We start from the raw sequence: 10,681 nt of genomic DNA, 5'->3' as shown, positions 1-10,681 counted from the left end.
TCGGAGTCTAAGTCTCTTTGTAAGTCCCTAAGAACTTGCTTTATGAATCTGGGTGCTCCTGTATTGGGTGTATATATATTTAGGATAGTTAGCTCTTCTTGTTGCATTGATCCATTTACCATTATGTAGTGCCCTTCTTTGTCTTGTTTCGTCTTTGTTGGTTTAAAGTCTGTTTTACCAGAGATTAGGATTGCAACTCCTGCTTTTTTTTTTTTTTTTTTTTTTTGGCTTTCCATTTGTTTGGTAAATATTCCTCCATCCCTTTGTTTTGAGCTTATGTGTGTCTTTGCACATGAGATGGGACTCCTGAATACAGCACACCAATGGGTCTTGACTCTTTATCCAATTTGCCAGTCTGTGTCTTTTAATTGGTGCATTTAGCCCATTTACATTTATGGTTAATATTGTTATGTGTGAATCTGATCCTGTCATTATGATGCTAGCTGGTTATTTTGCCCGTTAGTTGATGCAGTTTCTTCATAGTGTCAATGGTCTTTAAAATTTGGTATCTTATTGCAGTGGCTGGTACTGGTTTTTGCTTTCCATGTTTAGTGCTTCCTTCAGGACCTCTTGTAAGACAGGCCTGGTGGTGACAGAATCTCTCAGCATTTGCTTGTCTATAAAGGGTTTTCTTTCTCCTTCACTTATGAAGCTTAGTTTGGCTGGATATGAAATTCTGGGTTGAAAATTCTTTTCTTTAAGAATGTTGAATATTGGCCCCCACACTGTTCTGGCTTGTAGAGTTTCTGCAGAGAGATTCACTGTTAGTCTGATGGGCTTCCCTTTGTGGGTAACCCAGCCTTTCTCTCTGGCTGCCCTTAACATTTTTTCCTTCATTTCAACCTTGGTGAATCTGATTATTATGTGCCTTGGGGTTGCTCTTCTCAGCAAGTATCTTAGTGGTGTTCTCTGTATTTCCTGAATTTGAATGTTGGCCTGTCTTGCTAGGTTGGGGAAGTTCTCCTGGATAATATCCTGAAGAGTGTTTTCCAACTTGGTTCCATTCTCCCCATCACTTTCAAGTACACCAATCAAACATAGGTTTGGTCTTTTCACATAGTCCCATATTTCTCGGAAGCTTTGTTTGTTCCTTTTCATTCTTCTTTTTTTTCTAATCTTGTCTTCCCACTGTATTTCATGAAGTTGATCTTTGATCTCTGATATCCTTTCTTCTGCTTGATTGATTTGGCTATTGATACTTGTGTATGCTTCACAAAGATCTCATGCTTGTTTTTCAGCTCCATTAGGTCATTTATGTTCTTCTCTAAACTGCTTATTCTAGTTAGCAATTCCTCTAACCTTTTTTCAAGGTTCTTAACTTTCTTGCATTGGGTTAGAGCATGCTCCTTTAGCTCAGAGAAATTTGTTATTACCCACCTTCTGGAGCCTACTTCTCTCAATTTGCCAAACTCATTCTCTGTCCAGTTTTTTTCCCTTGCTGGTGAGGAGTTATGATCCTTTGGAGGAGAAGAGGCTTTCTGGTTTTTGGAATTTTCAGCCTTTTTGCACTGGTTTTTCCTCATCTTTGTGGAATTATCTACCTTTGGTCTTTGATGTTGGTGACCTTCGGATAGGGTTTCTGTGTGGATGTCCTTTTTGTTGATGTTGATGCTATTCCTTTCCTTTTGTTAGTTTTACTTCCAACCATCAGCCCCCTCAGCTGCAGGTCTGGTGGAGTTTGCTGGAGAGCCACTCCAGACCCTGTTGGCCTGGGTATCACCAGAGGAGGCTGCAGAACAGCAAAGATTGCTGCCTGTTCCTTCCTCTGGAAGCTTCCTCCCAAAGGGGCACCTGCCAGATGCCAGCCAGAGCTCTCTTGTATGAAGTGTCTGTCAACCCCTGCTGGGAGGTGTCTCCTGGTCAGGAGGCCCCGGCGTCAGGAACTGACTTGAGGAGGCAGTCTCTCCCTTAGCAGAGCTCGAGTGCTGTGCTGGGAGATCTGCCACTCTCTTCAGAGCTGGCAGGCAGGAACGTTTAAGTCTGCCGAAGCTGAGCCCACAGCCGCCCCTTCCCCCAAGTGCTCTGTCCCAGGGAGATGGGAGTTTTAGCTCTAAGCCCCTGAATGGGGCTGCTGCCTTTGTTTCAGAGATGCCCTGCCCAGAAAGGAGGAATCTAGAGAGGCAGTCTTACTACAGCAGCTTTGTGGAGCTGCGGTGGGCTCCACCCAGTCCAAACTTCCCTGAGGCTTTGTTTACACTGTGAGGGGAAAACCGCCTACTCCAGCCTCACTAATGGTGGACTTCAGACTGCTGTGCTCACAGCAAAAATTTCAAGCCAGTGGACCTTAGCTTGCTGGGCTCCATGGGGGTGGGATCCACTGAGCTAGACCACTTTGCTCCCTGGCTTCAGCCCCCTTTCCAGATTGGCGTTCCAGGTGTCACTGGGGTATGAAAAAACTCATGCAGCTAGCTCAGTGTCTGCCCAAACAGCTGCCCAGTTTTGTGCTTGAAACCCAGGACCCTGGTGGCGCAGGAACCCGAGGGAATCTCCTGGTCTGTGGCTTGCAAAGACCATGGGAAAAGCATAGTATCTGGGCCTCAGTGCACTGTTCCTCATGGCACAGTCCCTCAGGGCTTCCCCTGGCTAGAGGAGGGAGTTCCCCCACCCCCTGCACTTCCCAGGTGAGGTGACATCCCACCCTGCTTCAGCTCACCCTCTGTGGGCTGCAACTGCTGTCTAACCAGTCCCAATGAGATGAGCCAGCTACCTTAGTTGGAAATGGAGAAATCACCTGACTTCTGTGTTGATCTCACTGGGAGCTGCAGACCGGTGCTGTTCCTATTCCGCCATCTTGCCTGTCACCTTTTTTTTTGTTTGTTTTTGAGACAGGGTCTCATTGTGTCTCCCTGGCTGGAGTGCAGTAGCATGGTTATGGCTCACTGCAGCCTTGACCTCCTGGGCTCAAGCAATCCTCCCACCTCAGCTTCCTGAATCACTAGGACCACAAGTGTGTGCCACCAGGCCTGGCTAATTTTCTTAAAGAGATGGGGTCTCACTATGTTGCCAAGGCTGGCCTCGAACTCTTGGGCTCAAGTGATCCACCCTCTTTGGCCTCCCAGTGTGCTGGGATTATAATGAATTGATCACTACCTCTTAGTCCATACTTATCATGTACCAGCCACTGTGCTAACTAATATTATAATAAACACTATCATTTAATCCTTATAACAACCCTGTGAGACAGGGAATATAATCTTATTTTCCAGGTGAGGACACTGAGGCTCAGAGAATTTAATGACCTTTCCCAAGATTGCAAAGTTAGTAAGTTCTACATCCAGGGTTTGAAACCAGGGCTCTTTGAGTCTCCGTATACTAATAACTCTCCAATTTTCAATGTCACATCAAACATCTAGGAATCTTTTAAGATACAGATTCTGATTCAGTAAGTCTGGGGTGAAGCCTGAGGTTTCATACACCATAAGCTCCCAGCTGATGCCACTGCTGCTGGTCTGGGAACTTCACTTTGAGTGGCAATAATATATGCCACATTATAACAGGGTCACCAGCTGAAATTCCATTTGGAATTTTGTGAGTTGTGTGCAATTCAGAATTTGCTCTGGAAAAAAGTGTGAGGTGAGTCAAATTTGTTCCAGGCCCACTCAACCTCCCAGATATCAGCTCCTTTTTACCTGCGCCCCACAAGCCCCAGAGGTTCTGATGGTCTGCTTTCCCTCCTGGAGGATCTACATTTTCACAGAGAGCAAAGATTGGAGCTGAAACCATGACATTGTCATTTGGGGATTTGAGGCAATGGTGGAGAGGAAGGGATGAGTGTGGGTGGTTGCTTCCAAGTTTCTCATATCACTCATTAGCTCCAAAAAACACCAGCCACTGGCCAGTTTCACATCCTCAAGAGAACATGTCACTAAGATGGTTTATTAGTCCATTTTCATGCTGCTAATAAAGACATACCTGAGACTGGGCAATTTACAAAAGAAAGAGGTTTAATAAGTTCACGGTTCCATGTGGTTGGGGAGGCCTCACAATCATGGCAGAAGGTGAAAGGCACATCTCACATGGTGGCAGACAAGAGAAGAGAACTTGTGCAGGGAAACTCCCCTTTTAAAACCATCAGATCTCTTGAGACTTATTCACTATCAGGAGAACAGCATGGGAAAGACTCACCCCCATGATTCAATTATCTCCCACAAGGTCCCTCCCACAACATGTGGGAATTGTGGGAGCTATAATTCAAGATGAGATTTGGGTGAGGACACAGCCAAACCATATCAGATGTTCTTCAGAACCTTGTCATGACTAGCTGAGAGGAAGATGGTTTACATTTAGTCTATGCTTCTGGCTATTCCTCAGAGGGAAGATGTGGCTCATCCCATTCATTTATTTAATAACAGGCAAGAAGGAACCTGTCTGGTGATGTGGCCAGACTTGTCGGGCGTCTATTTGGATAGCAGATATGCTGAGTGAGCACTCAGGCTTGAGGGCACAATGAGTGGGTGCCAGCCAGACCACCATGGCCCAGGCAAGCTGATTATACAGGTGAATCCCTACTGCGGGGAGGGCTGGGCCGGTGGGGAACTGGAGGCTGGTTCAGCCTTTGGCCTAACTGGAGGCCTAAGTAAAAATGTGTGTTTGGTAATGGAGAAACTCATATTGAAAACAGGTGGTGTTTGGGCTTTTGCCTACTCCATAAACTGGCTCATCTGAGGCCTACAATACTTTCCTATCTCCAAAGTCTCAGCCCTGCTGTGAGATTGGGTCTCTAGTAAGGACAAGGCCTACCTGTCCTACCTTATGGAAGGTCACAAAGGACACGGAGTTGGTGTGGAGTTGCAGACCTCGCCTAGTGGTGAGGAGCAGGAAAAGAAAAGGGGGCTGCCTTTATGGGATCAGGAAGCTCACGTTCTGTCCCATCTGTCAACATATGGGCCCTACACTCAATGGGGAGAAGTTACTAAGCAGCTGCAAAAATTGCTATGAGCCCCAACTATATGCTAGGCACCATGTAGGCAGGTAGCAGAGATACAACTGGGCTCCCATGCTAATGCAATACATAAATGTGGCCGGGTGCAGTGGCTAACACCTGTAATCCTAGCACTTTGGGAGGCTGAGGCAGGCAGATCACTTGAGCCCAGGAGTTTGAGACCAGCCTGGCAACATCATGAGACCCTTTCTGTACTAAAAATTTAAAAAATTAGCCAAGCTTGGTGGTATGCACCTGTGATTCCAGCTATTTGGGGGGCTGAGGTGTGAGGATCGCTTGAGCCAAGGAGTTGGAGGCTGCAGTGAGCTGTGATTGCACCACTGCACTCCAGCTTGGGAGACAGAGTGAAAACCTTGTCTCGGAAAAAAACCCACATAAACGTACAAAAAATGTTAACGGTCAAATGTAACACAGCTACCAGCCAAATTGTACAGAGTAGAGTTTTCGTACTCTTCTTTAAAAGCTTGCTGTTGTGCAAGCTTGCTGTGGGGGGTGTTTTATAAGTAGAATTAATTCATTTGTTCATTCCTTAATGCTTGTATTCACTCATTCCATACACTCTTCCTCTATGGAGAGAGAGGCCAATCACATCGGTATGGGTTTGCTTGTTTTTCAAGTAAGGGCTGGTTATTATTTTTTTAAATACATTTTCTTTTTTTTCTCTCTGCAAACCACACTCTCGTTTTCACCACGTGGTTTATTTTCAAGTGCAGTTAACAATTAAGCCAAAAAGTGATTTGTTCAAGGATTGCTACCTATAAACAAAATTTATTCCATTTGTAAACCCAATAATCCACGATACTCTCTGCTAGCCTGAGTGACTTAATTTTTACTATTTGATCATTCTTGTTATTTAAGAAAAGCTAACACTAACCATTGGATTTTAATTATAACTGGTCACTGTAGGGCTTAATTGGAGTGTGTGTGGGTTAAAGCAGCTGGTGTGTTGATTCCAGGTATGTGGGAGTAGGGCTCAGAGAGGTTGACAGCAGGGAGTGGTGGTACTCCCTTCACCACCAGCCGCCACATCCCGCTCTGGAAACCTCATTTGGATCAAAAGAACTGCTGTATTTAGGAAATGCTTGGGTATTTGAATATAATCTCTAAAGTTCCTACCTACTCTAAATCTCAGTGAGTTGACAATCACTCAATGGATTACATTAGTTCTACACAGTTGAAGGGGATAGCCAGGGAGCTTAAGAGCAGACCTTATTGTTAGCATCACTTTTAATTGGGGCTTATTTTAAAAGGCTTTGAATAAAATGAAGAGAATAAATTTGCCATGAGATTTCTGAGTGTGTTGAGCCACGTTTAGCTATCTCTTGGGATTAATGGAATTACTGGGGAAATTACCTGCAAGATTTTTCATAGTTATAGGTCTCAAATGCTTACTAGAAGGCAGTGAATACAGAATCATTGACTTGTACAAATCCCGAGGAATTTGCAGGTGGATATCTGTGGGGTGTCCAGCAGCGAGCTAGGCAATTCTCTGCATTCAGTTCCAAAGCTGGGCAGTTCACCCCTAGCATTTTGTTTCACATAAAAATAGGGACAAACTCAGTGTGGCTTTCTAGTTCTCATCAGAATGCCCTGAAGCCTTTCTGCCTCTCTGCAGTGTGTAGGTCTGAGCCTGGAGTTGGATGATATTACTATATAGCCAAAGAGGATCTGAGATTGGACACCATTCAGTCTATGATCATTTTGGGGTCTTAAATGCCCATGAAATTGAATGGGTCTTTTTAATTTTGTTGCTGAGTTATTTGGATAATTGACTTAAAAATTCCATTTTGCTTTGGCTGGGGATTCATGCTTTTTTTGTTTGTTTCTTGAGGACTGTGCTTGATTTTCTCACTTAAATCCTATAAAGGTGTTCTTCACAGTGTCCCTCAGGGATTATTCTCTGGCCATGTTTTCTGAAACCCTGGTAAACAACGGAAAAGTCTTGTCCCTCATCAGTGACTGGAGAGTGGAGCCCTTTTGGTCACTGTCATGAATCTTGCAATTGACTCTCCTGTAAAGCTAACCCAAACTGGTTCCTGGAGAATACCCCCTTGTTAAGGGAGGACCAGAGATCTGAAGAGTCTATATTTTATGTGACCAGAGGGAGGAAAATATGGGAGGTGCTTCATATACCTTTTGGAAAGATTTCCTTTTGCAAATATGTGTGCGTAAATATACACATTGTGTAGTTAATGAGTACAATGTATGTTATTCTGGTGATGAATACCCTAAAAGCCCCGATTTGACCACTATACAATCTATGCATATAATAAAATTGCACATGTACTCCATAAATTTGCACAAATGTAAGTATAGATAGAGGGTTTGCCTTCTCTAGCATGAACTCACCTAAGTAACCTATGTAACGTACTACATAGAGACCATTTGAGACTTTTCATGGTGTCTTTACACTTTTTTTGAAATCTTCATATAATTAGACACACATTTTTTAATTCAGGAGAAGTTAGTCATATCTGTAGTTGAAAATTTTGAGAAATAACGAATAAAGAAAAACGGTGGCATAATAGCAGGTATAGGCACTGTGGGCACATTACATGTGTTTTAATTTTTTTTTTTTCCTGAGACTTTGAAAAGAGAAATGCAGAGTTGCATTTACTTCTGGTTTCAGAAGAGGGTAAACTAGGTTGTTCCTTCCCAGTTGTAAGTCAGAATTTAAACTAAGGCCTACCTTGTTTACTTGGACATAGAAAGTATTTTCCAGGCAGAGTATTTTAAGGCACAACTTTCCTTGTAACTGATCAGTATACACAAAAATGTTGTAACAAATGCCTTCCTCATCCCATGGCAAATAAGTTGCTGATAAAATACAGGAATAAAAATATTACCACCTCTTCAAAAAGGAGTTCCAGAAAAGAGAGGGGAGGAGAGAAAGACAGAGAGAGAGGGGGAATGTGTGCATCCGTGTGTCCTCAACCCAAGGACTTTCTAGACCAAATGAACTAAGTTACTAAAAGAAAAGTGGGTGGGTCCCGTTCAATATATTCAGAAAATTTGCTGCTTTCTTAGCAAGAGGTTGCAACCACACTGGGCAGTGCTCCTTGGTTTGGACAGGCATCGTTCATGGACTATTTTCCGAAAGCAAAGTGAATTCATGGACTATTTTCCAAAAGCAAAGTGAATGTGTTGCTTGAATGTTCTTTAAAAAGTGCTGAGTAGGCCAAAACTTCAAGGAACTTTATTAAGATACCCTCTAAAACTAAGAAGTGATGTTATATCTGAATTTTATAAATCTAGGGTGTTTGGGCTGGAAGGCAGCTGAAGGTCAGGCCATTTTAGAGAAGCCAGCATTGTTTGTTCACAGTTACTTTGTCCTTCTTTGCCTATATCCTCAGCGATGGATTTGTCAGTGACAAGATTGACCTAAAGAATATCCTGAGAACAATGTCTTGTTATTGAACAAATAATTATAGTAAGAATGCTAATATTCATGTTCAAATTGTATTTTGTTACACCAACTTCCTTTAGACCTAAAAGTGAGACTGGTATGTACAGCTTTAAAATGAAGTGAGCTCTACGAAGAATTTCATTTTCCCAGGATCTTCAAATGAAATCGATACCTATGTGGCATTGTTTTCTCCCAGGGCTTACTTGGAGTGAGAACAGAGGGGCTATAGAAGTGTGTATGCCTCCCTTTCTTTGCAGTAGAGATCAAGCAGATAAGAGCCAAGATCTGCAACCAGCAAGGACTCCCCTTCATAGCAGGAATTTGAGCAGGTCAATTCTTCCAGCTCTTGATATCCCAATGTCTCAGGTTAAGGGTATGGGTTAGGAGTTTGTGTGTATTTCTGTGAATAGATTTGGACAAGCTCTCCCTCTCCACTTGGGTCATGAGCAAATCTGATCAAGAGACTCTCTGCTTGCATCTTTCTTTGACAAGTAAATGTTCATCAGCACAGAGTTGGAGTTCCAGAGAGACCTACTCTTTGCTCCAGCTTTAAGCTACCATTGATGAATTCCCCAAGCACAATGTTCTTCTACTAGGTGCAAATCTCCCTCAATGTTATTATCTAGCCCAAGTGTCATCATTTTTTTTTTACAAGAGTACCATCAAAGACAACACAATGTAGAACACGCAGAAGATCAGCAGAACTTAGAATATGCAAGAAAAGAAGTGTACTTATTGGAACAGAAAATCTGGAGAAGGGGCTTCAACACTGTTTTGTGAGAAAGGAAATAGAGGTGTTAAGAAAGTAAACTGAAGCACAATAATATTTTAAAGAATGTATTTGAGCAAACAATTCCAGAAGTGGCTCAGGAGCTCCACCAAGGAAACACAAGAGGGAGGCTTTTATAGGACAAACCAAACACAGAAGTAAAGCAAAAAAAAAAAAAAAAATTGGTTGGTTACAATTATACAGTTGCCTTATTTGATCTATTGTGTTGGAAAAAATTCTAGTTATATAATTATGTGTGTTCACTTTTTTTTTTTTTTTTTTGGAGACAGTCTCACTTTGTTGTTCCTGGCTAATTTTTATATTTTTAGTAGAGATGGGATTTCACCATGTTGGCCAGGCTGGTCTCAAACTTCTGATCTACTGCCTGCCTCGGCCTCCCAAAGTGCTGGGATTACAGGCGTGAGCCACCGTGCCCAGTCTGACTTTCTTTTGTTTTCTTTTTGAGACAGAGTATCACTCTGTTGCCCAGGCTGGAGTACAGTGGCATGATCATGGCTTACTGCAGCCTCGACCTCCCAGAGCTCAAGCAATCCTCCCAGCTCAGCCTGCCAAGTAGCTGGGACTACAGGTGCATGCCACCAAGCCTGGCTAATGTTTTGTTTATTTTTTGTAGTGACGATGTCTCACTATGTTGTCCAGGCTGGTCTTGAACTCCTGGCCTCAAGAGATCTGCCTGTTTTAGCCTCCCAAAGTGCTGGCATTACAGGTGTGAGCCACCACATCCAGCCCAGTTTGTTGACTTTCTGATTGGTCTAGCTTACATTCTGGTTTTCTTTACTATAGGTATTTACAAGAGATAGCTCAAGTTTTGCTTACATCTGCAATTGTAGCAAGATTAAGGTCACTCATGAGCCCTAACCGGCTTTGTCTACTCAGGGATTCTTCAGGTCCAATCTCCATCTTAATTTACTTTAACAAAGGTGAGTATCAGCAACCCATTATAAAGTAGTCTAGCTTGTCATTTGCATTTTTGTACAGGTTTACCATTGCAAAATACAATCCATACTGTAGGTTGTCATTCTCGGGGCTTTTATTGTCTTTACGACGACCTGAATTTAAAACCTCCTCCAGGTGACAATAACTATGGCCCTTCCTGCTTCTCATTATCAAACATCCCTCCTTGACTGGAACTGCTCAGAGGTTTCCTCTTTAACCTTTTAAAGTCCAATAGTGTGTGGGCTCCACATTCTTTTCTAAATATGCAAAAGCCACCTGTTTGATCATATGGTCAAGAATTTTGCTGGGGCTCAACGTCAGGTGCACCGCCCGGCAGTTTCCGGAATCCAGCCATATGCACATTTATATTCGATTGCCACCATCAACATTTTCCATCTCTTACATGTTTAGCCAACTTTTGTGTGGGCTGTTGCTTTAACCTTGCAGTGAAGTTCTAAGCATGCATGGGACCCAAAAATAAATAATTAAAGAATCACCTGTTCACTGCAGTCAACAACCTCTTTGACCTATGTCATTTCAGCTATGGTTGGGACCCAAGTTAGGCATACTAGAGAGAGGAAGAGCTCCTCTCCTAATGTCTGATGGG

This window comes from Homo sapiens, chromosome X (assembly GCF_000001405.40).
Source record: "Homo sapiens chromosome X, GRCh38.p14 Primary Assembly".
NCBI classification, from domain to species: Eukaryota; Metazoa; Chordata; class Mammalia; order Primates; family Hominidae; genus Homo; species Homo sapiens.
The sequence above is the reverse complement of the archived record's forward strand: the minus strand, read 5'-3'. Positions refer to the sequence as shown.